The following is a 27,982-nucleotide window of genomic DNA, read 5'->3' as shown; positions in this document are numbered from 1 at the left end:
TTTCCCCCGAGCGCGCAGCTGGCAGCGGTGGTTGTTTCTGTTCGGGGAGGATTCCGAGGGTTTCAGCTGTTGACGCTTTACGCGTTGCGGGCGCACGTCGGGCCGCTGTTTCCCGAGGGAAGGCAGGTGTGCCTCTGCGTTACAGGGAAAGGCACTTAGAACTGTCTGAGTGGCCCCGTAAGCCAGCGAGGGCGCATTTCCCGGCGCGGACGGGCTGCTGGTGGTTTTGGTGGCTGCTCTCCGGAGGCACACCTGGCACGTCGAAGGGGGGCTTTATATGGCTGTATTTGACTTGGCAATTCCTGCTGAACAAATAATTTTTCATGGCGGGTAGGTGGATGGAGTGTGACTGGCTTAACTGCACCTGAGACGTGGAAAGACCGTCCAGACCGCACAAGGCCTTCGTACTCTTGATTTTCTTGATTGATTGAACTAGGACGGGGCCCGGCTGGGGAGTGGGAAGCGCCTGGGGAGCAAATGTTAAGCAGGCGCTCACGGTCGGGGTCGTGGTCTTGCCTCCTTAAAATTTGTGCTCTAGGCGCCTCTCTCACCTTAACCTAATCCTAGCCGTATATTAAACATTTTATTGTGTCTGAGTTATACTTCCGTAATGGTAAAATGACGTTCAGAAATACCGATTTTTCAATACAACTGTGACAAAATGTGATTTATTCTCAAATGAGCGTCCCTATTTACATGTTGAACCTGAAGTGTTGTCAGTTAATTCCTCATTCTTTGAAACGTAATAGTTCCTGGAAAAAAGTGATTAAGATAAAATTATGGCCGGGCGCGGTGGCTCACGCCTGTAATCCCAGCACTTTGCGGGGCTGAGGCAGGCAGGTCGCTTGAGCCCAGGAGTTCAAGACCAGTTTGGGCAACATGGCAAAACCCAGTCTCTAAGAAAAATACAAAAAAATTAGCCGGGCGTGGTGGCGCGTGTCTGTAGTCCCAGCTATTGGGGAGGCTGAGGTGGCAGGATCACTTGAGCCTGGGGAGGTCGAGAGGCTCCGGTGAGCTGTAATCGCGCACTGGCACTCCAGCCTGAGTGACCCCGTCTCAAAAAAAAAAAAGAAATTACTTTCCCTCCATTTAGTATTCTTATATGTACATCTAGTAGAGCATTAAAACGCGACTCAGCATTTAAGCAAAACTTTATGGCTAAAGAGAAAACGGACACTACAATTTTCAGACTATTAGACTTTATAGGAGTTACCTGCTTTTGTTCTTTGAGAGGGTAATAATGTAGAAAAGATAATAAAACACCAGCCTGAATTATTACAAGTACATTAAATGGACTCTGAACTTATAGGTACAGTTGGGAGCTAGGAAAACTGTAAAAACTGTTATAATTTTCATTAGAGTAGAAATGTTCCGCCAGGTGCGGTGGCTCACGCCTGTAAGCCCAACAATTTGGGAGGCTCGAGGCAGGAGGATCGCTTAGCCCAGAAGTTCGAGATTAGCCTGGGCAATAGTGAGACCTCGTCTCCACAAAAAAATTAAATTAAAAAATTAACTAGGCCGGGCGCGGTGGCTCACGACTGTAATCCCAGCACTTTGGGAGGCCGAGGCGGGAGAATCGCCTGAGGTCGGGAGTTGGAGACCAGCCTGGCCAGCATGGTGAAACCCCGTCTCTACTAAAAATACAAAAATTAGACAGAGTGTTGGCGCGCACCTGTAGTCCCAGCTACCCGGGAAGCTGAGGCAGGAGAATCGCTTGAACCTGGGAGACGGAGGTTGCAGTGAGCCGAGATAGTGCCACTGCACTCCAGCCTGGGCGACAGAGCGAGACTCTCAAAAAAAAAAAAAAAAAAGAAGAAGAAAAAATTAGTTGGGCGGGGCGGCGCGCGTCTGTAGTCCCAGCTTGAGCCTAGGAGGCAGAGGTAGTGAGCGAAGAACTGCCCTCCAGCCTGGGCGACAGAGCGAGACCTTGTCTCAAAAAAAAAAAAAAAAAGCCTCAATCTCAGTCCTTTATTTGGTGTTACTTAGGCTTGGGTTGTTGAAGCATGGATTCAGTAATTAAATAAATAGATGAAAGTTACATAACAGTTCAACGGTGATTTTAGAGTGAAACAGTGGTATATACTGCCAAAAATGTATCTTCCTAATTGTCAGTCTTAAAAAAGGTAGTTTCCAAACTACCTCTTTTTTAAACATCTATCAGTTTTTGGTATCTCATTTCCCTTTCCACATCCTCCCCTTTGTCCACCCAAATTTAATGGTTTAAATACTTGGATGTGACACTCTAGAGTACACCTAAAGTTTTTGGTCTTAGTGGATCGATTGTGGAGCAAAGAGCCCTTTGAACTTTACCACCATACAAATAAAATCTGCCCCTTGATCTCTATCCTTAATTACCTCGAGTCAGTTTTCCTTGTAGACAGACTGAAAATGGAAATACATAAGGAGTTAAAAATAATTGGACTACAAGTTTTTGACAAGAGAAATAAAAGATATAACATTTAGATTTGTTTTTCTTCTATAAAATTAGTTCTTCTTCTACCTGGCCTACAAACTACATTCTTTTCTCTCTTTTTGTTCATATTAATTAATATGATCAAATCCCAGTTCAGTTTCCGCTAAACCTTCTTTAGCATCTTGACCTTCCTTTTTGCAAGCTCCAATTGCACTTTTCATTTATTTCCCTGGCTTTCTGGCACATACTAGGCATTCAACAGATAATGGTTCCCTCCCTCCCTCCCTCCCTCCCTCCTTCATTTCTTCCTTCCTTCCGCTCTGTTGCCCAGGCTGGAGTGCAGTGGCACGATCTCGCCTCACTGCAACCTCAGCCTCCCCGGCTCAAGCGATTCTCCTGCCTCAGCCTCCTGAGTAGCTGGGATTACAGGTGCCTGTCACCATGCCCAGGTAATTTTTGTATTTTTAGTACAGACGGGGTTTCACCATATTGGTCAGGCTGGTCTCGAACTCCTGACCTCTGGTGATCCACCCGCCCCAGCCTCCCAAAGTGCTGGGATTACAGGCGTGAGCCACCGCGCCCTGCCGACAATGGATTTCTTTCAACTTTTCATTTGTAGTCATAGTGAACTTTGCTCACTTTGTAGCTCATTATGTTTGAGCTAGTAAAATCACAGTCACATCAGAATTTTTTTTTTTTTAGTTTAGCTTAGTTTTGGAGACAGGGTTTCACCCAGGCTGGAGTGCAGTGGCAACATTCATAGCTCACTGCAACCTCAAACTCCTGGGCTCAAGCCATCCTCCTACCCCAGCCTCCCGAGTAGCTGAGACTACAGGTGCGTGCCACCATGGCCAGATGTGTGTGGTTTTTTTGTTTGTTTTTTTACTTTTTGCTAGAGATGGGGGTTCTTGCTATGTTGCCTAGTCTGGTCTTGAACTCCTGACCTCAAGCTGTCCTCCTGCCTCAGCCTCCCAAAGTGCTCGGATTACAGGTATGAGCCACCATGCCCCACCCACATCAGATTCTTAAAGAACGAGGTCACAATCTATGGACAGTGTAGACTTGCTTGCCCTAGCACATTTGATCCAGATGTTGGAGTTAGTTTTTTTTTTAGTGGTAAACATCATCTAAGACTCAATACAGCTAAATAGTTAAAAAATATGCACCTAAGCATCAGACCTCTTTCAGTCTCAAAAAAGGGAAAAAAAAGACTGGAGAAAAATATCTCCAAATATGTTGAATTTATTCAGAAATGGGAAGAGAATATTAGAATTCAGGATGCACGAAATGGCAAGCCAAAAGTACGTCCAGTGAGGGAAGGGTAAAAGGAAGCTTTTATTGGCAAAAAGGGCAAGTTCAAATAAAGCTGCTTGGAAACAGAAGCAAGAGTTCTGTTCAATGAACAGAGTTCATTGGTTCCAGAGGCTCAGAGCCAGAGCTGTCATCAGTTCATTGGTGGAGATGCTGTTACTGGGCAAGTGTTCTTTTGAGAGCTTCTTATCTAAATTACTGCAGTCCTAAAGAATGATAAGCCTTGTCATAGAAATATATGTATATGTCTGAAACCTGCCAACTGTGCAAAGGAGGACATGTGTGAAGGATGTGAAGTGATCTCTTGTGGAGTTTTTAGAAAGTCTTCAGAAACAGTTCTTATCTCAGACATACAAACATGAGCCCTTTCCTTTTTGCCTTTCTGGCCCTATTTTGTTTGGTTCTGACAAAAGTGATTTCATCCTGGTATCTGCAACTTTCACTCCTCTAAGTTCTGCCTTTCATCAGTGACACTCTTTGAATGTCTTATAGATTGTGTTTCCACGATTATTTACTAATGAATGACCACCTTTCCATTCTTAGCACTGCCGTATCAATTCAGAGCTGCATTACTTTGCTACAGAGCTGTTGCTAAATTTACCAGGTCTTCTTGCTTCAATACATTTATTCATTCATTTAACACTTAGGATTTTTTTTTTTTTTGAGACAGGTTCACACCCTGTCCCCCAGGCTCTGAAAGTTCTGGAAAACCTTTGAAAAATTTTAAGCGGGATAAAATTCAGACCTGATCAGGAAAGGTTCTTGTGGTCAGTAAAAAGATGATTTTGGAGGTAGAGCAAGCCTGAAAGCAGATGTATCAGTTAGGAGGCTGTTGTAATAATCCACCATCCATACTGCAGCCAAATTAAATTTGTAGAGGGATATCCTATCATAGAATCCTCAAGTTTTAGAGCTGAAATGTCGTTTATAGATATTTTACTTCAATTCTCTCATTTTGCACAAGAGGGAATGGAATTAAGAGTAAAGGTACACTATTTGACCATGACCTCATAGACAGTCAATGTTAGAATAAACAGGACTAGAACTCAAGTCTCAGATGCTGTATTTAATTTCTCCCAAAAACCTTCATGGATTTCTACTCATCACAATTTGATTAAATACAGTTGCCCAAAGGCTTGTCTCTTGCTCCCTTTGGAATCCAGGTTATATGTAATATTACTTAGGAGGACAGATTGCCCCAGGACAGCCTCTGTTTTTTCAGTTCCCACTTAGCACCTGCCCCCAGTATACCCCTTTCTTGTGAGCTCACCTCTGCATTTTAAAACGTCTTTTTTTTTTTTTTTTTTTTTTTTGAGACAGAGTCTTGCTCTGTCGCCCAGGCTGGAGTGCGATGCCGTGATCTCGGCTCATTGCAACTTCCACTTCCCAGGTTCAAGCGATTCTCCTGCCTCAGCCTCCTGAGTAGCTGGGATTACACTACACCTGGCTAACTTTTGCATTTTTAGTAGAGACGGAGTTTCACCATGTTAGTCAGGCTGGTCTCAAACTCCTAACCTCAGGTGATCCACCTACCTTGGCCTCCCAAAGTGCTGGGATTACAGGCATGAGCCACTGCGCCCGGCCAAAATGTCATATTTTATCCAGCACATTTGAGTGTTGACTGTAAGAGGAATTTTATCCTGTTCAAAATATTGCTATATGATTACTTATTTAATGCTTATCTTCACCGCTAGATGATATGCTTCCTGGCTTCTGAGTCATTACTGTTATATGCAAAGCCTAGCATAGTGGTTATATGCAGTCGGTACTCAATGCATATTTGTAGAAAGAATAAACAAATACTGCTTTTCATTTATTCATTTAGCAAATATTTCTGAAAGCATGCATTGTGCTAGAATACAGCAGCCTTACATGCAATTAATACGGCTTGTGTTGGGATAAGTAGCCATTTGGGAGGAGAAAAAAGCTGAATTTCTCCTTCATTCCTGGGGAACAGTGACATAAATTTTAGGTGGTTTCAAGATTTAAATAAAAACTTTAAAAATATCACAGGAAAACACATGTAACCTTTAAAGAATTTTGATGCAAAACCTAAAGGCAGTAGTGTGACAAGTTAATTTTAATTTTTTTTTTTTTGAGATGCGGTTTCGCTCTTGCTGCCCAGGCTGGAGTGCAGTGGCGCAATCTCGGCTCACTGCAACCTCCGCCTTCTGGGTTCAAACGATTCTCCTGTCTCAGCCTCCTGAGTAGCTGGGATTACAGGCATGCACCACCACGCCGGGCTAATTTTGTGTTTTTCGTAGACACGTGGTTTCTCCATGTTGGTCAGGCTGGTCTCGAACTCCTGACCTCAGGTGACCCACGCGTCTCGGCCTCCCAAAGTGCTGGGATTACAGGTGTGAGCCACTGCGCCCGGCAAGTTAATTTTAATACATAGACTTTTGGCCGGCGGGGGTTCAAGACCAGCCTGACCAACATGGAGAAACCCCGTCTCTACTAAAAATACAAAATTAGCTGGGGGTGGTGGCGCATGCCTGTAATCCCAGCTACTCGGGAGGCTGAGGCAGGAGAATCGCTTGAACCCGGGAGACAGAGGTTGAGGTGAGGCAAGATCACGCCACTGCACTTCAGCCTGGGCAACAAGAGTGAAACTCCGTCTCAAAAAAAAAAAAAAAAAAAAACATAGACTTTAAAACTTTTTGCATGGTGCTGGTCCGAGTGCAGTGGAGTTTACAACTAATTAATTACAACCAGTTACAGATTTATTTGTTCCTTCTCTACTCCCACTGCTTCACTTGACTAGCCAAAAATAAAAAATAAAAAAAAAAACTTTTTGCATGGAAAAATATACCATAAACAAATTTAAAAAATAAGTAAGAATCTGGGATGGTGGCAAAGAAAATAACTTTGCATCTTATATGAAGGTCAAAGGTGTATTTCCTTATACATAAGTATTTATAAATATATAAACTAGCTTACCAATGGATTAAAAAAATTGGGCTGTGGACTCAAAAAAGTTCCCAGATAAAGATATATGTCTGGCTTATAAACATAGGAAAATACGCTCTGTCTCATCAGAAAATCAAATTGAATCTTGCTAAGTGGACTTTAAAAAATCAAATTGGGGCCGGGCGTGGTGGCTCATGCCTGCAATCCCAGCACTTTGGGAGGCCGAGGCAGGCGGATCATGAGGTCAGGATATCGAGACCATCCTGGCTAACACGGTGAAACCCTGTCTCTACTAAAAACACAAAAAATTAGCCAGCCATGGTGGTGGGCGCCTGTAATCCCAGCTACTCGGGAGGCTGAGGTAGGTGAATCGTTTGAACCCGGGAAGCAGAGGTTGCAGTGAGCCGAGATCACGCCACTGCACTCCATCCTGGCTGACAGAGCAAGACTCCATCTCAAAAAAAAAAAAAAAAAAATCAAATTGGGCCAGGCATGGTGGCTCATCCCTGTAATCCCAGCACTTTGGGAGGCTGAGGCGGGTGGATTACCTGAGGTCAGGAGTTCAAGACCAGCCTGGCCAACATGGTGAAACTCCGTGTCTACTAAAAATACAAAAATTAGCTGGGTGTGGTGACATGCGCCTGTAATCCCAGCTACTTGGGAGGCTGAGGCAGGAGAATCGCTTGAGCCGGGAGGTGGAGGTTGCCCTGAGCTGAGATTGAGATTGCACTGCACCATTGCCCTCCAGCCTGGGCAACAGAGTGAGACTCTGTGAAAACAAACAAACAAACAAACAAACAAACAAACAGAAAACCTCTAAAAACTGCTAACTTGTTGGTTTGGACAGGGAGACTGGGAAAATAGGGGTCTAGGGTTGGAGAAAGACTTACTTTTGATAATATATTTAATGTATGCATGTATGTATGTATTTTTTTCCTTTTTCTGAGTCCCCTTTCCTGAAGTATGTATGTTTTACTTTAAAATATAATATGTACAGTTAATTAAAATATTAATATTTGCTAAAATCGATATGGACAAACACATAACACTATTGAACAACTGGGCTTTTTTGAAGGGTTAATAATTATTAATAAAGACCTAATTCTGGTTGGGCGTGGTGGCTGATGCCTGTAATCCCAGCACTTTGGGAGGCTGAGGGGGAAGATCACTAGAGGCCAGAAGTTCGAGACCAGCCTGGCCAACATGGCAAAACCCCGTCTTTACTAAAAACACAAAAATTAGCTGGGAGTGGTGGCACACGCCTGTGATCTCAGCTACCCAGGAGACTGAGGCAGGAGAATCGCTTAAGCCTGGGAGGTGGAGGTTGCAGTGAGCCGAGATGGCCCTACTGCACTCCAGCCTGGGTGACAGAGTGAGACTCCGTCTCAAAAAGAAAAAAAAAAAAAAGACCTAATTCTAACCAACTGGAAAAAACCGGGGCATGATACTGAAGTGTGCATATTGTAATAACCAAACATGCGAAACATGTATTTTAGACTCTGTCTATGGTAAAATAGGTTTTGTAAAGTTTAGAGGAAAAGTATGATTCTATTCCCAAAGGTTCCAAAATTGAAAGTAACTCAAGAGCGATGCAGGTTTTTTTGTTTTTTGTTTTTTTTTGAGACGGAATCTCACTCTGTTGCCCAGGCCAGAGTGCAGTGGCGCAATCTCGGCTCACTGCAAGCTCTGCCTCCTGGGTTTAAGCGATTCTCCTGCCTCAGCCTCCAGAGTAGCTGGGACTACAGGCGCCCGCCACCATGCCTGGCTAATTTTTGTATTTTTAGTGGAGACCGGGTTTCACCATATTGGCCAGGTTGGTCTAGAACTCCTGACCTTGTGATCTGCCTGCCTCAGCCTCCCAAAGTGCTGGGATTACAGGCGTGAGCCACCATGCCTGGCCAGGTGTTTTTAAAAAAACTTTTAGTTTCAAGGAAACATGTACAGGTTGGTTCTATAGATAAATTGTGTGTCACAGGGGTTATTATTTCATCACCCAGGTAATAAGCTTAGTACCTAATAGGTACTTTTCGAATCCTCACCCTCCTCCCACCCTCTACCCTCAAGTAGGCCCTGCTGTCTATTACTTTCTTTGGGTCCATGTGTATTCAATGTTTAGCTCTCACTTATAAGTGAGAACGTGGTGTTTGGTTTTCTGTTCCTGTGTTAGTTTGTTTAGGATAATGGCCTCCAGCTCCATCCATGCTGTTGCACAGGACATGATCTTGTTCTTTTCTGTGGCTGTGTAGCATTCCATAGTGTATATGTACTACATTTTCTTTATCCAGTCTACTGTTGCTTAAAAAATTGCTATTTAGGTTGATTCAGTGTGTTTGCTATTGTGAATAGTGCTGCGATGAACATACATATGCATTTGCCTTTACTGTAGAATGATTTATATTCTTTTGGGTATATATCCAGTAATGGGATTGCTGGTCAAATGACAGTTCTGTTTTAAATTCTTTAAGAAATCACCAAACTGCTTTCCACAGTGCTGAAGTAATTTACATTCCCATCAGCAGTGTATACGTCTAAGATGAAGGTTTTTAAATGATTAAATTCTGGATGGATGATCACAGAAGACTGTAAGAATAATTTGAGAAAGAAAATTAAAGACATCTTGAATAATAGTGTCCTAACATGCATATTATTCCAATGTACTTAAAAATAAGATCTATACTTTGCAGTGTTAGAATGCTTCGATCTTACATGTATATTACTTTTAGTTTTTCAAAAGAAAAATATTAGTAGGGTTATCTGGGCAAGGACATTATGGCACTTTTTTTTTTCTTTTTCTTTGCACTTCATTGTACATTTTTTAAAAAACAAAGAACCCAAACCCAATAAATATCCTATTAAAGGAAAATGTGTTCTAAAAGAAGAAGCATTTCAAACCCATGTATAAAAGAGAACTAAGATGGCTCACGCCTGTAATCCCAGCACTTTGGGAGGTCGAGGCGGGCGGATCATGAGGTCAGGAGATCGAGACCATCCTGGCTAACAGGGTGAAACCCTGTCTCTACTAAAAATACAAAAAGAAATTAGCCGGGCATGGTGGCGGGCGCTGTAGTCCCAGCTACTCGGGAGGCTGAGGCAGGAGAATGGCGTGAACCCGGGAGGCGGAGCTTGCAGTGGGCCGAGATCGCACCACTACACTCCAGCCTGGGTCACAGAGCGAGACTCCAGACTCCGTCTCAAAAAAAAAAAAAAAAAAAAAAAAAAGGACTCAGAAACTGTAAGAAGACTACAGGATTAAGATAAAAGCTCTTAGGCCGGGCGTGGTGGCTCACTCCTGTAATCCCAGCAGTTTGGGAGGCTGAGGTGGGTGGATTACTCGAGGTCAGGACTTCGAGACCAGCCTAGCCAACATGGTGAAACCCCATCTCTACCAAAAATGTAAAAAATTAGACGGGTGTGGTGGCACGTGCCTGTAATTTCAGCAACTCGGGAGGCTGAGGCAGGAGAATCCCTTGAACCCAGGAGGTGCAGGTTGCAGTTAGCCAAGATGGTGCCATTGCACTCCAGCCTGGGCGACAGAGTGAGACTCCGTCTCAAAAAAAAAGGAAAAAAAACAAAACAAAACATAAAAGCTCTTGATAAACACCGAGTTAAAATGAACTTTTAAAGCTGTGTTCTCAGTTTGTTGAAAAAGAAATGGATAATTTCATGGTTTGGGATAGATGGTGTCACATTATCTTAAAACTGAAAGGAAGTACGACGTCTTAGCTGCACTTTTGCAATATCTCTATCAAAGAGAATAATGTATAGACTAGAATAAGTATTAAGAATTACTTAAGTATTCAGATTAAGATTGTTGAAGTGCAACTAATTGCTTCTCATTTGTCTTTTTTTCTCTCCTAAATGAATTCACTTCTTTAGGCCCAAAGGCTTATATATCAGAGTACTAAAAATATTAATGGAATTGATCTCAGAACCACTGTAATGTTTTAAATATTGTGGAGACCAACTAGAAGAGGCCTAAGAAAGTGTGGACAAATGTTAGATTAGCTTTTGAGAGGCAAATGGCTTTTGGAAACCACACATTAGTGACTGATATAAATTATAGGAAAGTTGTAAAAGCTTGACATTGGATCTTGCCCAATGAGGCTTTAAAATAAAATACCTTTTCATTCCTATCACTAGGCCTTTTGTCCATCTTCTATTCTAGTTACACAAAGTTGTTCACCTTACCTTGGCTCAAGCGCTTCCTTTCACCAGGCATTCCCTTCTGTCAAGTGCTGCCTGTAGAAATCCCATTCTTCAAGGTCTACCTCAAAGGTCTCTCAAATGTACCTCGAACTGGAATTAATTTCTCTTCTTGGCTCCTTTCGTACTTCATGAGCACACCCATGATTTAATACAGAATATTTTCCTTAGCTGTACATATGTTGTTGGTGCACAAACGTTGTATGTTGAAGTCTTGGAGATAATCCTGTTTCCCACAGATTAGAAAATTTTGAGGGCAAGGAGCAAGTTATATCTAGTTTACAAATCTCTGACTCCCCTCCTTCCTTAATCATATAATACAATGCCTAACTTAATGATTGGGTAGGGGGACCCCACTAGAACCCTGACATAACATACCTTAAAGAAGTGTTGTATTTCAATTTATAAAAGTTTATATGTAAAAGTTTCTGGAATTGTTGCACCCTGTGCTACATTTTATAAATCTAGTTAAAGCTTTGATTTCAGAGCAGTTTTATCTGGAGGCATTATAAATGACCATATGGAATGTAGGTATCTTTCAGCAGAAATTCGTTTATTGACATTGGTTTTTTGCATTTTTGCATTTGCTTTTCATTACTTGTTTTGTCACCAAATTATCTGGTCAAAGCAACATACACTGCACATTACTTGTTTATTACTTTACATTCAGCCAATTACATTTAAGAATCAAATACACTAAATGCCAAAGAATCTCATTTTTTTTTGGAATGGTGTAGGTGTATTTCTTGGAGGAGTGTGTCAAAAAAATAAATTTGAAAACGTACTCTCTTTAACAAAATAAAAGCAAACCCTACCGTTGACTCGTGATCATTACAGCTGATTTTAAGTTGTTTTGTAAATTTATTCCAGTAGGTGTCACTGGTGAGTCGAGGAAAAACTCCTTTCCCAAGTGTAACGTTTTAATTAAAAGAAAGTAAAAGGTTTAATCAATAAAAAAGACTATGAGAATATTCATCTCTTGAGAGTCCAAAATTAACGTATTTATTGTTCAAAAGAGACGGGGTCTCGCTATGTTGCCCAGGCTGGAGTGCAGTGGCTATTCACAGGCGCGATCCCACTACTGATCAGCACGGGAGTTTTGACCTGCTCCGTTTCCGACCTGGGCCGGTTCACCCCTCCTTAGGCAACCTGGTGGTCCCCCGCTCCCGGGAGGTCACCATATTGATGCCGAACTTAGTGCGGACACCCGATCGGCATAGCGCACTACAGCCCAGAACTCCTGGACTCAAGCGATCCTCCAGCCTCAGCCTCCCGAGTAGCTGGGACTACAGGCACGCGCCACCGCGCCCGGCGGTCGGATACCGGCGCAGAATAGCACTAGAAGCTGTGGTATGGTGACGTCATCAACTGGGCCAGCCCACAACGCCTCTAAGATTTCATTTTACTCACCCAGCGAAACAACCTGACCACACTGCGCACGCGTTTCCTTTGAGCACTGCATTCTGGGTAAACTGTCTCAAAAATTTGAAGAGCGCATGCGTGGGCCAGCTTCTTCCTTTTACCTCGTTGCACTGCTGAGAGCAAGATGGGTCACCAGCAGCTGTACTGGAGCCACCCGCGAAAATTCGGCCAGGGTTCTCGCTCTTGGTGAGAAATAGTTTGTGATTTTGGGGAAGCGTTGCCGTGGAGCGCTAGGCTGCTTAAAATCTCAAGTAGAGGAGGCCACGGGCGGCACGAGGGAGCACGCCGACTGGGAGTCGCTGGTGCCGCCATTACAGGCCTGTACTGTGGCTTGGGAGTCCCGGGATGCGGGTAGTAGCCGTCTGAGTGCGGAGTCTTGTAATTTCTATGACCTGCAAAACCGCTGTCTCTTTTCTTACAGTCGTGTCTGTTCAAACCGGCACGGTCTGATCCGGAAATATGGCCTCAATATGTGCCGCCAGTGTTTCCGTCAGTACGCGAAGGATATCGGTTTCATTAAGGTAGGCGTCTGCAGGCGTACTCCATGTTGTTTGGGCAGAGAAGGTTGTGGGGGTTATTTTTTCCGCGAAAGACAAACGGACAGATCTTCCCTGGAGTGGTAATTCTGAGCATTCGACCAAGAGCTTTTCCTCTTTTTTTAGTTGGTAGCTGGTGACAGTGTTGATGGTTTGGGCAATCAAATTAATAGAATGGAGAAGGTGAAGGACTTAGTCTTTCCTACTCCCTTTTTTACCTAGATAGCTTAGCCAGTTTTAGGTGCCGTGTATTGTGTTTGGTGAAATTCACTTTAGAGAAGCCACTAAAATTGTTTTACATTTGTTTCATTTATCAATCTTGTAAGTACCTATTCTCTTTTTTTTTTTTTTAGAGATAGGGTCTCCCTCTGTCGCCCAGGTTGAAGTGCAGTGGCGTTGTTACGGCTCACTGCAGCCTCGAACTCCTCCTGGTCTCAGGCGATCCTCTTGCCTTGGCGTCCCGAGTAGCTGGGACTAAAGGCTCTTGCCACCACGCGCGGCTGTACCTAGATATTTTCTAACCAAATATATGTATTAACCGCTGACCCCAAGTTTTTTTTTTTTTTTTTTTGAGTCGGAGTCGCACTCACCCAACCTGGAGTGCGATGGCGTGATCTCCGCTCAGTGCAACCTCCGCCTCCCCGGTTCAAGCGATTCTCCTGCCTCAGCCTCCTGAATAGCTGGGATTACAGGCGCCTGCCACCATGTCCGGCTAATTTTTTTATTTTTAGTAGAGACGGGGTTTTACCATGTTGGTCAGGCTGGTCTCGAACTGCTGACCTCGTGATCCGCCTGCTTCGGCCTCCCAAAGTGCTGAGATTACAGGCGTGAGCCACCGCGCCCGGCCAACCCAAAATGTTTGAAAGCGTCATACACTGGAATGAACTTAAAGTTTGGGGCCGGAAAGACATTGTTAAGATTCAGCAAACAATGGTCTGCCATTTAGTGCTTCTATCTCTTGATCATCTTAGTCAAGCTAGTGTTTATATGAAACTTTTGACTGTGAAACTTTTGGCTTCTGAAAATCTTTTAAATAGTAGTTTGGGTTTTTTTTTTTAAGGTGAAAACGAATTTATTATTGGCTCTTTGAGATAAAAATCACCAGCTTTCTGATCAATTATTTTGTATTGGATAGTACTGTTCTATAATGATGTAAATTTTTTTTTTTGTTTTGAAATTGGGTCTCCCTCTGTTTCCCAGGCTGGAGTGCAGTGGCGTGATCTCAGCTCACTAGCCTCCCCCTCCCGGATTCAAGCGATTCTCCTGTCTCAGCCTCCCTAGTACCTGGGATTACAGGCGTCTGCCACCACGCCCGGCCTATTTTTATTATTTTGTGGAGATGGGATTTCACCATGTTGGCCAAGCTGGTCTTGAGGTCCTGACCTCAGGAGATGGGCCTGCCTTGACCCCTCAGAGTGCTGGGATTACAGGCGTGATCCACGGCGCCCTGTCTGTTGTAAATTGTTAATATGAATACTGCAGTGCAGCAGGGACAGAGAAAGTACGTTTAAACTCAGGCTTGGCAGCCCTGAGCAAATACTTCATCAGTATATGCTTCTTGTTAAAATGAGGAGGTTCGCCTAATTTGAGAGGTAGTATATCATACGTAAGAAAATGGACCTTGGCCCACGCCCTAGCTCTGTGTCCTAGATGAACTGGGCCAGGCGAGGTGCCTCACACCTGAAATCCCAGCACTTTGGGAGGCCGACAAGATGGGCAGATTTCTTGAGCCCAGGGTTTCCGCAACAAGCCTTGCCAACATGGCGAAAACCTGTTTCTACAAAAATTAGCCTTGTATGATGATCCGCGCCTGTGGTCTCAGCTACTCAGGAGGTTGAGGTGGGAGAATCGCTTGAACCCAGGAGGCTGAGGTTGCAGTGAGTGGAGATGGCTCCATTGCACTCCAGTCCGGGAGACAGCGAGACTCTCTCTCAAAAAAAAAATGATGAACTGTGTAATTATAGTTGCCTACTGAACAACTATCCTGTGCATTTGGTAAAGATCATTTACTAGTGTTTTGGGAAACATTACTTTGATGGAAGAAGTGCGATAGCGTTACTAAAAATCGTTCTAAAACATGGTTGATTCTGGAGTAGGCATTCAGTAAATATTTAAACTACATAGAATCTGGTGTGGTTTGGATAGGTCAAAGGTCCAGTTCTGTAATTCTATAACATTCTATAATGAGCCTTTTTTTTGTGAGAATCAAGTAGAGATTTAAAGCATTTTGAAATAAATCATCTGCTTTTTTTTTTTCAGTTGGACTAAATGCTCTTCCTTCAGAGGATTATCCGGGGCATCTACTCAATGAAAAACCATGATAATTCTTTGTATATAAAATAAACATTTGAAAAAACCCTTCAGTTTATGAGTGTTCTAATGTGACTGGAATAGCTAATTGTTTATAGAAATCTTTTTCTTTTTTTTTTTGAGACTGAGTCCCCCTCTGTCGCCAGGCTGGAGTGCAGTGGCGCGATCTCGGCTCACTGCAACCTAGGTTCAAGCCTCCTGCCTCAGCCTCCAAACCTAGCTAATTCTTCTCTTTTTAGTAGAGATGGGGGTTTCACCATGTTGACCAGGATGGTCTCGATCTCTTGACTTCGTGATCTGCTCGCCTTGGGCCCCCAAAGCTCTGGGATTACAGGCATGAGCCACCGCACCCGGCAAGAAATCCTTTAAAAACTTACATTTTATTACCTTCTCAATAAACTTGTATCAATGGCTTATTTTCTCTGAGTTAACATAAAATCATACCAGCCAGTAAACTGGTAAATGCCAATTTTATTTTTATACTTTACAAAACCTGGCAGGTTCAGGCCTGTAATCCCAGCACTTTGGGAGGTCAGAGTGGAAGGATTGCTTGAGCCCAGGAGACCACCCTGGGCAACATACTGAGACCTTGTCTCTTTAAAGAAAAAAATGTTTTAAGGAATTTATATACATATATGTTCACACACTTTTGAATAGATACAGGGTCTGTCATCTGTCAATGTGTGCATGTGCGTATTTGTGGGGAAAAGCAGTTGGGAGCACTTGGAGGGGTTGTACAAGTTGGACTCAGTAAAAGGTGAAGTGTAGGTATAGTGTGTGGTTGCTTTAACATTGGTAATGCAGGTGGCTGACGTGAGATGGAATAAATGAAGGTAGGTGAAAATTCTTGGGATTTGACACGTTGTCATCTGGAAGCCTATTAGAAATGTGTTGTTAGGGTATACCCTGTGCCTCCTGAATTGGTGTACATTTGAACAAGAGCCCCTACGCAATCCAAGTTTGGAAAGTACTGTTCTACCACTTGTGGATAACAATTGTACAAATACTTGAGTTCTGTATGCCAGATGCAGAATTCTGTAGTGAATGAAAACTTCTCAATTGAATTTATATGCTGATAGAGCAGCAATACATAATAATGTGCATTATTTGAAAAAAAGCAGGTTAAAAGAGGTATATGTGCTAGATGTTGAGGTCAGAGAAGAAAGCCATACTTAAATTTGGCTTATGAACTTAATAGAGGTTACAGCATAGATTCTGTGGGGAAGAGAATTCCTGGATGGAATCAGAGAAATAGCAAAGTTGTGGCTGAAGAGTGAGAAAGCTGGCCAGGGTCTGTAGTAGCCCTGTAGGTTATAGTTAGATATTGTGAGATGAGAATCCATTTGGAAACTTACTTTTGTAGAGGTGGGGTATTACTATGCTGTCCAGGTTAGTCTGAACTCTTGGGATCAACTGATTCTCCTGCAGCCTCCCAAGTACCTGGGACAACAGGTGTGCACTACTGTGCCCAGCAATGAACTTAAGTTCATTTCACTGAGGCAGAGGTAGAAATAAAGCTATTGCAATAGTCTAGGCAAGTGATATTTGCTTGCATTAGGATAGATGGGAGTGGTTGAGATAGTCACTAAGTTTTTTTTTTTTTTTTTTTTTTGGGGGGCAGGGTCTTGCTCTATCACCCAAGCTGGAGTGCAGTGGCGCACTGCAGCCTCAACCTCTTGGGCTCAAGCTATCCTTCCACTTCAGCCTTCTGAGTAGCTGGGACATGGTGTACACCACCATGCCAGGATAATATTTTGTGTTTTTAGTAGAGACGGGGTTTGTTGTCCAGGCTGGTCTTGAACTCCTGGGTTCAAGTGATCAGCCCGCCTTGGTCTCTCAAAGTGTTGGGATTACAGGTGAGCACCACTACAGCCAGCCTTACTGTGGGAGACAAGGTTTGTTGAAGGAACCGATACAGGAGATAGGAGTAGATAATGACTCTTAGGGGCTGGGCGTAGTGGCTCACTCCTGTATTCCCAGCACTTGGGGAGGCCTAGGCGGGAGAATAGCAAAAATTTAAAAGAGAAAATTAGCCGGGTGTGGTTGTGCACGCCTAGCTACTTGGGAGGCTTGTGCCACTGCACTCTGGGCAACAGAATGAGACCCAGTCTAAGAATGACTCCAAGGATTTTGGCCTGAGCAACTGGAAGGATAGAATTGCTGTTGAGATAGGCCTTTCCAGGTTTGGGAAGAATAGAAAGTTCAATTTGGACATGTTGACTTTGAGACTTGTCTTAGACATCCAAGTAGAATCTGTTTTAAGCAGTGACGTGAGTGATCAACTGTATTGTGTGCCTTTGATTAAGACAGAATTGGTAACCCCAGTTTTATCTGAGAGGAGGGGAAGTGTGACAGAAGGGAAGCTGGAATGGAAAGAGCATCTTAACTGGTTGCAGCTAAATTATCTTTGCCAATTTTTTTTTCTTTTTTTTTTGAGATAGAGTTTTGCTCATGTTGCCCAGGCTGGAGTGCTGCAGTGGCTTGATCTTGGCTCACTGCAACCTCCGCCTCCCAGGTTCAAGCAATTCTCCTGCCTCAGCCTCCTGAGTAGCTGGGATTACAGGCATGCGCCACCATGCCCGGCTCATTTTGTATTTTTAGTAGAGATGGGGTTTCTCCATGCCGGCCAATGGCTGTTCTCGAACTCCAGACCTCAGGTGATCTGCCTACCTTGGCCTCCCAAAGTGCTGGGATTACAGGCGTGAGCCACCGCACCCAGCATTTTTTTTTTTTTTCTTTTGAGACGGAGTCTTGCTATGTCACCCAGGCTGGAGTGCAGTGGCATGATTTCAGCTCACTGCAACCTCTGCCTCCCGGGTTCAGGCGATTCTCCTGCCTCAGCCTGCCAGGTAGCTGGGATTACAGGTGTGCCTGTACAGGTCTGCCACCACGCCTGGCTGATTTTTTGTATTTTTAGTAGAGGCAGGGTTTCACCATGTTGGCCAGGCTGCTTTTGAACTCCTGACCTCAGGTGATCCACCCACCTCAGCCTCCCAAAGTGCTAGGATTACAGGCATGAGCCATCGCTCCTGGCCGCCAATTTTTTGAAAACATGTGATTGAACACATTCCTAGTATACTTGCCTTAGAAGGAGCTTGTAGAAGTTAGGGATACTGGAGTTTAAGTTTCATAAGCTTCATAGTAAATCCACCTGTGCTCCTAACCCTGAACCCCAGGTGTATGTGATGATAAAGTTGGTGTTGGGGAAGTGTCTAGGAAAGAGCCAGGTTTCAGTCTGGGTAAGGAGGTGGGAAGAATATTGGGAGATGAGGTTGAGGATGTAGAAAAGATTTATTGGTAATGGGATGAGCTGGTATTGCAGATAGAGTGGATGAGAAGCTGTGTCAGCTAAGCAAATGTAAAAAAGTTTGGGAGATGATGAGAGAAGCTTACATATGTAGTGGTGAGTTAGGTCAAAAAGGGTGTGATATGTGTTTGATTTGGTCATGAGAGTCTCTTGGATGGGCTGGGCTCTGGTCCAGTGTGATGGCCTGGTATAAATTCTGTAAGAGACGTGCAGTGCCTTAGGTAATGGAAGGGAAACACTCCCTAGACAGTCCTATCCCTGTGTATACATGGTGGTAGTGAGTGGGAAGGCTGCTGTGGATAGGTGGTCTAAGTGCTTTATGCACATTGCCTTTTTCCAGTCTTAGAGTACTTTTCAGCAGGTATTATCATCATTACATAGCCAAGGAAACTGAGGCTTAGAGATTAAGTAATTTCCCCAAGGTCTCCCAAAGAAAGAGACAAAACGACTGGAACTGGGTCTGTCTGAAATCAGTGCCTATGCTCTTAATATTCACAACACACTTATTGTATGGTTAGAGGACTATGCATCTCTTATTCCCAAAGATCACTTAGTTACTTGAGGGCAGGAGTAAGTGTTTCCTTTCATATTTACATGCATACCAAGCACATAGCAAGATGCCTTGTAGATTAATAGGTCCTCATTTGTTGGGGAATTGAACTAAATTACTTAGTAAAAGCTCAATAAGTGTTGATGGCAAAAGATGGTAGGTGCTATAGGAGAGGCCCAAACAACCATTGGAACATAGAGGATCTATTCTTTGTTTTTCAAAATTTATTGTAGAGACAGGGTCTTGCAGTGTTGCCCAGGTTGGTCTTATACTCCTGGCCTCAAGTGATCCTCTTGCCTTGGTCTCCCAAAATGCTAGGACTACATGTGTGAGCCACCACTCTGGCAGAGGATATATTCTTAGGTTTGGATTCTGTCTTAGTGTCTTTGGGCCACTGTAACAAAATCCAGTAGACTGAGTGGCTTAAATAACAGACATTTATTTCTCACAGTTCTGGAGGCTAGGAAGTCTGAGATCAAGGTGCTGGTAGATTTCATGTCTGGTGAGAGCTGTTTCCTGACTCATAAATGGTGCCTTCTCATTGTGTCCTTACATGGTGGATAGGGCAAATGAGCTTTCTTGGGCTTATTTTATAAGGGAACTACTCCCATGAGGGTTGACCTCTCATGACCTAATCTCTTTCCAAAATGCCCCACCTCCTACAACCCACAGGCTAGGGTTTCATCATGTGGATTTTATGGGGGACATAAACATTTTGGCTGTAGAATCTCCTTTAATACAACAATTCCCTGAGGTACCGTCCCCATTTTACAAATGAGGTGACTGAGGCACAATGAATAAGTAACTTTCCCAAGATTGTATAGCTAGTAAGAGAGATTCAACCAGGTAGTATGTCTTGAAAACTGCTCTTACCACTAAACTGTAAATGTTCAACAAAAAGTGAAAGCTGGCTGGGCGGGGTGGCTCATGCCTGTAATCCCAGCACTTTAGGAGGCTGAGGCAGGTGGATCACAAGGCCAGGAGTTTGAGACCAGCCTGGTCAACATGGTGAAACCCTGTCTCTGTTAAAAATACAAAAATTAGTTGAGCATGGTGGTGTGCGCCTGTAATCCCAGCTACTTGGGGGGCTGAGGCACAAGAATCGCTTGAACCGGGGAAAGCGAGGTTGCAGTGAATCGAGATCATGCCACTGCATTCCAGCCTGGGAGACAGAGTGAGACCCTGTCTCAAAAAAAAAAAAAAAAAAAGTGAAAGCTTTGGTAAATATTGGTAGTCTACAAAATTGCCGAAAGAAATTTTTTTTATAAAAAGTGAAAAATTGTATATGTGCTACAATTTTATTATGTTAAAAAACAAGTACACAGGGAAAAAAATCAGAAGGAAACATGTCATTATGTTAGCAGCATTTGACTTTGGGTGATGTGATTTATGATTTGATTTGTAGCAGTATCTGATTAAGACTCATTTAGAGATTGAGTATCCAGATACTGCAGTGTATAATGTCCCTGGTACCAATATTGCTAGTGAGGCTTCTGCTCCTCCTAAAACAGCTCATTCTATTTTTAGATTGCTTTGATGGTAAGTTTTTTCTTAGGTTGCTATGATTTCATTCTACTGATTTTGACTGCTACTCATTGATATTAATTCTGTGTTGTCCTGTACAAAACAAGTCTAATCTCTGAAAAAAAAAAGGGCTAAATATTTAGGCATGAAGGCTCTCATGTTTTCCTAGAATCTTCTTATTTCCAGTATAACCATCTCTGATTATTTCAACTGTTTCTCTAAAACATGATTTAGAGTGATCTTTGGTGTTCTCTGAATTAATTCCACTCAATCTAGATCCTGATAGTGACATAACATGTTTCACAGGGCAGGCATGCAGTACAAATTTATTGAATTTGGTTGGGCATCATTGCTTTTTCACTTTTTATGGGTCCTCTTTTACCATTACAGAAAGACCTGAGCTGTCTTCCTTGGCACTGCCTATGGAGGTGACACCCATCTCCTCCATCATGGCCATCCTGAGACCGCTCGCGAAGCCCAAGATCATCAAAAAGAGCACCAAGTTCACTGGGAACCAGTCAGACTGATATGTCAAAATTAAGGGTAACTGGTGGAAACACAGAGGTATTAACAACAGGGTTCATAGAAGGTTTGAGGGCCAGATCTATGCCCAACATTGGTTATGGGAGAAACAAAAAGACAAAGCACATACTGCCCAGTGGCTTCTGGAAGTTCCTGGTCCACAACGTTAAGGAGCTGGAAGTACTGCTGGTGAGCAACAAATCTTACTGTGTTGAGATCACTCATGATGTTTCTTCCAAGAACTGCAAAGCCATCTTGGAAAGAGCAGCCCAGGTGGTCATCAGAGTCACCAATGCCAATGCCAGCCTGCACAGTGCAGAAAGTGAATAGACAGTGAATGTGTTTGTTTTATTGGGGTTTAAATAAAACCAATAAAACTGTAAAAACAAAAACAACAAAAACCAGAGACCCTGGCTTTTGGACAGTTGTTCGTGTGGCTAATGCCCCCAACAGTTTTATTTTTTAAAATTTTATTTATGTATTGTTTTTGAGATGAAGTCTTCCTCTGACTGGAGTGCAGTGATGCAAGCTCAGCTCTCTGCAACTTCCACCTCCCAGGTTCAAGTGATTCTTCTGTCTCAGCCTCCCAAGTGGCTGGGATTACAGGTGCCCACTACCACACCTGACTAATTTTTGTATTTTTGTAGAGATGGGGTTTCATCCTCTTGGCCAGGCTGGTTTCGAACTCCTGACCTCAAGGGATCCTCCCACCTCAGCTTCCCAAAGTGCTGGGATCACAGGCTTGTATTAGTTCATTTTCACACTGCTGATAAAGACATACCTAAGACTGGGAAGAAAAATAGGTTTATTGGACTCACAGTTCCATGTGGCTGGGGATGCCTCACAATTATGGTAGAAGGCAAAAGGCACTTCTTAGATGGCAGCGGCAAGCAGGAAATGAGGAAGACATGAAAGCAGATATCCCTTATAAAACCATCAGTTCTCGTGATACTTACTCACTACCATGAGAAAGTATGGGGGAAACCGCTCCCATGATTCAGTTATCTCCCACCGGGTCCCTCTCACAACATGTGGGGATTATGCGAGTACAATTCAAGATGAGATTTGGGTGGGGACACAGCCCACAAACCATAATCAAGGCATGAGCCACTGTGCCTGGCCTTCAACAGTTTTAAAGCAGCCTGCTTGCATAACCTCTGCTAGGACATCGTTCTTAAAAACTATCTTTAATGGTAATTGGTGTATTAGGGATTTGGGTTTTTAGGTAGGCAGAGAAAAAACACTTCTAGTGGTATGATTAAGAAGGGTATAATAAAGTGTTTTAATTTCCTCAATATTGACAAAAATTGAAAAAAAGAGGCCAGGCAAAGTGGCTCATGCCTGTAATCCTAGCCTTTTGGGAGGCTGAGGCAGGAGGATGGTTTGATGCCAGGAGTTCCAGACCAGCCTGGGCAACATCAGGAGATCCCCTATCTACCAAAATTAAACAAACAAAAAAACCCAAAAACAATTAGCCAGGCGTGGTGGTGCATGTCTGTAGTCCCAGTTTCTCAGGAGGCTGAGATGAGAGGATAACTTGAGCCCAAGAGGTCCAGGTTTCAATGAGTCATGTTTGTATCACTTAAAAAAAAAAAAAAGGCTGCACTATTAGCTGTTTCTCAGGAAGGTTAATGTAGAACATAAAAGGCTCAGTTTGTAGATAGACTGAGTATATGTGTGTGTAGGAATCAAGGCTATACAGGGTCCAAAAATTAGCCTAGATTATGTGTGCTAGTTCCAGGTATCTTCTATCTTTTAGAATTTTAAAAGAATAGAGGCAGAAAGTCACAAGCTTAATCTAGATGAGGTAATTATCATTTAATGTCTTGAACATAAAGTAATTTGCTAAATTAGAATTTATTTTAATTTTTTTGGACATGGCCTTGCTCTATCACCCAGACTGGCATTCAGTGGCACAAACATGGCTTATTGCAACCTCAACCTCCTGGGCTCAAGTAATCCTCCTACCTCAGACTCCAAGTAGCTAGGACCATAAGTGTGCACCACAATGCCCAGCTAATTTTTATAAAATTTTTCGTAGAGATGGAAGTCTCACCATGTTGCTCAGGCTGGTCTGGAACTCCTGGGCTCATGCAATCCTCCCTTCCTAGTCTCCCAAAGTGTTGGGATCACAGGGGTGAGCCACTGTGTTCAGCCAGAAAATAATTTAGAGAAGCCAGAACTGGCTTCCTTTGGTGAAAATTCTTTGAGCAGATTCCAGACTGGACCTTCTGACTGTTATAAATAAATGGTGGATTCCCATTATTTGTTTGTGGGACAGAAATATTGAAGGCCTGTAGAACCATAATGCCTTCCCCTTCCTTCTGTCACTCACCCACTTCATTTCTCCTATTAGGCCCCTTAGAAAGAGATCCCTGATGCCAGGCACAGTGGCTTACGCCTGTAATCCTAGCAGTTTGGGAGGCTGAGGCGGGTGGATCACCTGAGGTCAGGAGTTAAAGACCAGCCTGGCCAATGCAGTGAAACCCCATCTTTACTAAAAATACAAAAAAATTAGCCAGGCATGGTGGCGAGTGCCTGTAATCTCAGCTACTCAGGAGGCTGAGGCAGGAGAATGGCGTGAACCCGGGAGGCGGAGCTTGCAGTGAGCGGAGATCAGGCCGCTGCACTCCAGCCTGGGCGACAGAGCGAGACTCCGTCTCAAAAAAAAAGATAAAGAAAGAGATCCCTGACTGCCTGTATAGTTTGAGAACCACTGATCCTGGGGCAAGGACTCAAAGTCTCTGGCTCTAGAAGTGGCTGGTGTGGACCTCAAATGGACCCTGTTCTAAGAGTCCAAAGGACACATTTCAGGAAGCTGTGCTCTAAGCCTAAATGACCAACCTTGCCTTCACTTTGGACATATACCATCTGATCATCTTCCTCGATTTCTGTTCTTTGCTCAGGCCTTCCAATTTCTTCGTGGGTGACCCCTCCTTACCAGTGCTTTGCTCTGAGTCAGCTCACCAGACCCAGCAGGCTGCCACTAAAGGTTTATTGTAAAACCTTGATTAATTCAGATAACCTTGAAATACTTACATAACATCACTGACAAATAGGAAAGGGAGTGCATTTCCATTGATAGAGACTATGGCTAGAGTTACTAAGGTCTGGAAAAAAGGCAGGAGAGTGAAGTATCTGGAGACGTAGGGAGAGAAAGAGACTGGTGTTAAGAGAAAAATCACGCCTTTTTCCTGCTTGTATCTTACAGTGGTTCTGCCACCAGTAATGCAGGATCCCACTGATCTCTCTGAACACATTTTAGGACAGGTCCATATTCGGGAGCTGACTTTGTAACTTCTTACTGTATATAGTTTAGGTTCGAATGGGATCACCATAGGTGTGCTTATGACCTTAACTGTAACAGCGATGAAATAAAAAAAATGGTTTAGTTTAATAATAATGTTGTAAGAGTGTAAGTACCAGTAGCTTCATGTACATTCTACAACCCAATAATAATTATGCTGACCGTGTAAACAGCTCCCTCGTGTAGACTGAGACTCCATTGCCAAACATCAAGCATTAACAGCAAGTGCTAGAAAAATCAATAAGCCTTTACCCAGGGAACCAAAGATATGTGGGTTACTAAAACCCCTAACAGTTGCCCATAAAGAGTAATATCTCATTATTTTAATGCCAAAGGAGGTTTTTGTTTCATTTCCTAAATAATAACAAGATCGCATATTAAAGGACGAGTTGATGGAGTGATAAACATTCCTGGCAGCACAGACAAATCAACAAGAGACTAAAATAAAAAGAAATGAAACTTGCCTCTTGGCAATCTGTTTAGTTGAATTTCATAGACTGAGTCTGGTTCACCCTGGATTTTCTTTTCACACACCCACACGTCCCATTTCATGATGACACTTGTGCATCTATTCTTCCTTTGATGGTAATTAACTCTTATTAACATTCATGAAGACTAAGTGTGAGCCTCTAGCACAGATGACATATTCAGACAACCACAAAAAGATAGGGTTTATAAAAACTAATGCATATTTGGAACTGAGGCCAAAAGATAAAGATGGTCCACTCCAACAGTGCTGACATGCTTGAGAAATCCAAGGGGTGTTGACCTAATGTAAAAAGGATATAGGAGACAAATTTTACCATTGTGTAATTTTGTCTTAGGCCAGTTCTGTCAAATATAGCTTCTGAAATTCTGAATAGTCCTCTGCCCAGTGTGGTTTAATTGTTGGTGTTGTCAGGACTCTTGGGGAGAAGTCACCTTTCTCTTTTTTTTTTTTTTTTTTTTGATTCTAACTCTGTTGTCCAGGCTGGAGTGCAGTGGTGCCATCTTGGCTCACTGCAGCCTCTGTCTCCTGGGTTCAAGAGATTCTCCTGCCTTAACTTAGCCTCTGGAGTAGCTGGGATTACAGGTGCGCACCATTACATCCAGCTAATTTTTATATTTTTAGTGGAGATGGGGTTTTGTCATGTTGGCCAGTCTGGTCTCAAACTCCTGACCTCAAGGATCTGTCTGCTTTGGTCTCCCAACGTGCTGGGATTACAGGCATGAGCCACCACGCCCAGCCTATTTTTTTATTTTTTGTATTTTCTTTTGGTAATCTCTTTCTCTTGCTTTTTCTTTCTTTCTCTTTCTTTCTTTCTTTCTTTCCTTCTTTCTTTCTTTCTTTCTTCTTTTTTTTCTTTGGAGACAGGGTCTCACTGTGTCATGCAGGCTGGAGTGAAGTCGTGTGATCTTGGCTTACTGCAGCCTCAACCTGCTGGGCTCAATGCAATCTTCCCACCTCAGCCTCCCAAGTATCTGGGACCACAGGCGTGCATCACCAGCATGGCTAATTTTTGTATTTTTGGTGAGACAAACTTTTGCCATGTTGCCCAGGTTGGCCTTAAATTCCTGGGCTCAAGAGATCCACCTGCCTTGGCCTCCCAAAATGCTAGGACTGCAGGCGTGAGCCACCATGCCAGGCCAGGGAAATCTCTTTAAACACAATTTTCTTTAAAGTTTTCTACATGGTCAGGAGACTTCATTATCTGATTTCTGAGTACTATAGCTTCTTTATTGCCAAGGGAGCAAAGCATGATGACAATGACCACTTCTCATTTGTGTCCTTCATTATAGATTTTCTAAATACACTTGTTCCTTGTTAATGACTTTAATTTGTTCCAGAAAACTCCACCACTGAGTTAAAAGCTATTAAGTGAAAAAATTCCATTAAGTTTTCGGAAAAAATTATTTATTCTATGACACTACAGGGTACTTGAGTAATTTTCACAAAAAGAAGAATATACTAGTTAAACTTTGAAAAAAAGCTCATAAAAGTAATGTACAATAATTTGAAAGTATTCTGACCTCAACCGGTATATTGAAATTCAATTCTTGCACTAATTAGGGTTAGAGAAGACCCCACAAGTTAAAGGGCATGATCCCAAACGAGGTTGTCCTCACTTTTGATGCCAGTCACACTTTGGGAGTCCCCAGTCAATTGGCTACAAATCTAGGGGTTTGGCTGGGTGCCGTGGCTCACACCTGTAATCTGAGCACATTGGGAGGCCAAGGCAGGTGGATCACCTGAGGTTAGGAGTTCGAGAGCAGCCTGGCCAACACCGTGAACCTCGTATCTACTAAAAATACAAAAATTAGCCGGGCATGGTGGCAGTCACCTGTAATCCCAGCTACTTGGGAGGCTGAGGCACGAGAATCGCTTGAACCTGGGAGGCAGAGGTTGCAGTGAGCTGAGATGGTGCCACTGCACTTCAGCCTGGGCAACAGAGTGAGACTGGGTCTCAATAAAAAATAAAAATAAAATAAAACAATAAAACGTAGGGGTTTCTGAAGATTTCCTTCAGGTTTGCCGATTTGCTAGAATGACTCACATTACTCAGGAAGATGCTGTATTTACAATTGTTTTATTATGAAGGATATAAGTTAGGACCAGCCAATGGAGAGACACATAAAGTAAGGTCTAGGAGGGCGCTGGATGCGAAGCTTTCATGTCCTGCATTGTGGAATCGGGTGTGTCACCCTCTCAACACATTGATATGTTCACCAACCAGGATGCTTCACCATGCTTCGGTATCTAAAGTTTTTATTGGGGTTTCATTATATATGTATAATTGATTGAATCACTGGCCAAGTGATTGAACTAAATCTCCACCCTACCCCTTACTCTGGGTGTCAGGCTGACTCAAAGCACCAGCTATGTAATCACATGGTTGTTCTCGCTGGTAACTGGCCTCCATCTTGGGTCATCTCATCTTCCAGCCCAAATTCAGGTGTGATCCAAGAGGCTCATGAAAAACAAAGATATCCCTGTTACTTAGGGAATTCTAATTATTTTGAGTCTGCCTCCTAGGAACCAGAGACAAAAGCCAGTCAAATTCTTTACTATAAAACAGAAAGCATGTGAAAACATACTGTGCACGCTATGTCACACAACAAACACAAGTCTATTGAACTTGCCAATGGTGGAGTGTTGGTTGGTAGGAGAGGTCTGAGGGCATCATTCTTTGCAAAGTGTATTCTTTCTGTACCATTTTCTTGACCAATTTTCACCTTTTCTGGGGATTATTCCTGTTTTGCACTCAAACTACTCTTAAAAATAAAGTTACAGTGCAGGAAAACTTCTTTAGGGCACAATAAAGGCTAAACTCGTGGAAATGGTACTCATTCATCTGCACAGAATGAAGTCTCTCAAGATGTTTCCTTTTATTCCTACTCAGTTGGTGCATGTACCCAAAATAAACATTTTGAGTTCATCCAAACACAATTCACTTTTGTTCTATGTGATGGTCTCTGTTTTGTTGTGTAAACTGGTGTCTCTTTGCCTGAAGTTGTAGTGTTGAAAGATGAGTTCTCATAGTCATTTATTTAGAGTGTTTTAGAGCAAAAAAAAAATGTATATTGGTATCCCAGGGGTTCCTAAGACCACTCTCAGACTCAATGATTTACTAGAAGGTCTCAAAGGACTCAAAAAAACTATTATACTCACCGATATGGTTTATTACAG

At 43.0% G+C, this 27,982-nt stretch overlaps 1 protein-coding gene, 1 non-coding gene and 1 pseudogene across 4 annotated transcripts, besides 10 other annotated features; 2 read left to right on the top strand and 1 right to left on the bottom strand.

Annotated features, from left to right (window-relative positions):
• On the top strand, positions 20 to 27,742 carry RPS29 (ribosomal protein S29). Of its 3 annotated transcripts, none has more exons than NM_001351375.2 (3): positions 20 to 330; positions 12,681 to 12,780; positions 15,055 to 15,153. In NM_001351375.2, exons 1-3 carry the CDS (start codon positions 278 to 280, stop codon positions 15,061 to 15,063), a joined length of 162 nt encoding a protein of 53 aa, NP_001338304.1. In that variant the 5' UTR covers positions 20 to 277; the 3' UTR covers positions 15,064 to 15,153. The 3 variants fall into 3 exon arrangements, with proteins under 3 accessions (NP_001338304.1, NP_001025172.1, NP_001023.1); NM_001030001.4 differs by lacking the exons at positions 20 to 330; positions 15,055 to 15,153 and adding exons at positions 12,350 to 12,445; positions 20,877 to 27,742; NM_001032.5 differs by lacking the exon at positions 20 to 330 and adding an exon at positions 12,350 to 12,445.
• Positions 149 to 218: an enhancer, noted in NCBI's record as "active region_8313". NCBI's record gives its function as "activates an Ori minimal core promoter by ATAC-STARR-seq in GM12878 lymphoblastoid cells {active_cell/tissue: GM12878}" and the evidence as "EXISTENCE:reporter gene assay evidence [ECO:0000049][PMID:35858748]".
• Positions 938 to 987: an enhancer, noted in NCBI's record as "active region_8312". NCBI's record gives its function as "activates an Ori minimal core promoter by ATAC-STARR-seq in GM12878 lymphoblastoid cells {active_cell/tissue: GM12878}" and the evidence as "EXISTENCE:reporter gene assay evidence [ECO:0000049][PMID:35858748]".
• Positions 11,790 to 12,299: an enhancer, noted in NCBI's record as "NANOG-H3K27ac-H3K4me1 hESC enhancer chr14:50053149-50053658 (GRCh37/hg19 assembly coordinates)". NCBI's record gives its function as "activates a minimal SCP1, AML or CMV promoter by ChIP-STARR-seq in primed H9 embryonic stem cells {active_cell/tissue: H9 hESC(primed)}" and the evidence as "EXISTENCE:reporter gene assay evidence [ECO:0000049][PMID:30033119]".
• Positions 11,790 to 12,671: a biological region, named in NCBI's record as "NANOG-H3K27ac-H3K4me1 hESC enhancer GRCh37_chr14:50053149-50053658".
• RN7SL1 (RNA component of signal recognition particle 7SL1) lies at positions 11,852 to 12,150 on the bottom strand. Its single transcript, NR_002715.1, has one exon.
• Positions 12,172 to 12,671: an enhancer, noted in NCBI's record as "active region_8311". NCBI's record gives its function as "activates an Ori minimal core promoter by ATAC-STARR-seq in GM12878 lymphoblastoid cells {active_cell/tissue: GM12878}" and the evidence as "EXISTENCE:reporter gene assay evidence [ECO:0000049][PMID:35858748]".
• Positions 13,270 to 13,319: an enhancer, noted in NCBI's record as "active region_8310". NCBI's record gives its function as "activates an Ori minimal core promoter by ATAC-STARR-seq in GM12878 lymphoblastoid cells {active_cell/tissue: GM12878}" and the evidence as "EXISTENCE:reporter gene assay evidence [ECO:0000049][PMID:35858748]".
• Positions 14,346 to 14,857: an enhancer, noted in NCBI's record as "H3K27ac hESC enhancer chr14:50050591-50051102 (GRCh37/hg19 assembly coordinates)". NCBI's record gives its function as "activates a minimal SCP1, AML or CMV promoter by ChIP-STARR-seq in naive H9 embryonic stem cells {active_cell/tissue: H9 hESC(naive)}" and the evidence as "EXISTENCE:reporter gene assay evidence [ECO:0000049][PMID:30033119]".
• Positions 14,858 to 15,368: an enhancer, noted in NCBI's record as "H3K27ac hESC enhancer chr14:50050080-50050590 (GRCh37/hg19 assembly coordinates)". NCBI's record gives its function as "activates a minimal SCP1, AML or CMV promoter by ChIP-STARR-seq in primed H9 embryonic stem cells {active_cell/tissue: H9 hESC(primed)}" and the evidence as "EXISTENCE:reporter gene assay evidence [ECO:0000049][PMID:30033119]".
• Positions 15,369 to 15,880: an enhancer, noted in NCBI's record as "H3K27ac hESC enhancer chr14:50049568-50050079 (GRCh37/hg19 assembly coordinates)". NCBI's record gives its function as "activates a minimal SCP1, AML or CMV promoter by ChIP-STARR-seq in primed H9 embryonic stem cells {active_cell/tissue: H9 hESC(primed)}" and the evidence as "EXISTENCE:reporter gene assay evidence [ECO:0000049][PMID:30033119]".
• Positions 17,037 to 17,156: an enhancer, noted in NCBI's record as "active region_8309". NCBI's record gives its function as "activates an Ori minimal core promoter by ATAC-STARR-seq in GM12878 lymphoblastoid cells {active_cell/tissue: GM12878}" and the evidence as "EXISTENCE:reporter gene assay evidence [ECO:0000049][PMID:35858748]".
• RPL32P29 (ribosomal protein L32 pseudogene 29) lies at positions 20,888 to 21,375 on the top strand (annotated as a pseudogene).

This window comes from Homo sapiens, chromosome 14 (assembly GCF_000001405.40).
Source record: "Homo sapiens chromosome 14, GRCh38.p14 Primary Assembly".
In the NCBI taxonomy this organism is placed as follows: domain Eukaryota; kingdom Metazoa; phylum Chordata; class Mammalia; order Primates; family Hominidae; genus Homo; species Homo sapiens.
Note: the sequence above shows the minus strand (reverse complement) of the source record. Positions and strands in the feature narration are given on the sequence as shown.

Excerpts from the sequence above, each read along its gene's own strand:
- RPS29 (NM_001030001.4), top strand. The coding sequence starts at position 12,384 with ATGGGTCACCAGCAGCTGTACTGGAGCCACCCGCGAAAATTCGGCCAG. Across the intron at positions 12,446-12,680 it reads GGCCAGGGTTCTCGCTCTTG|TCGTGTCTGTTCAAACCGGC; the intron begins GTGAGAAATAGT and ends CTTTTCTTACAG. Across the intron at positions 12,781-20,876 it reads AGGATATCGGTTTCATTAAG|AAAGACCTGAGCTGTCTTCC; the intron begins GTAGGCGTCTGC and ends TTACCATTACAG.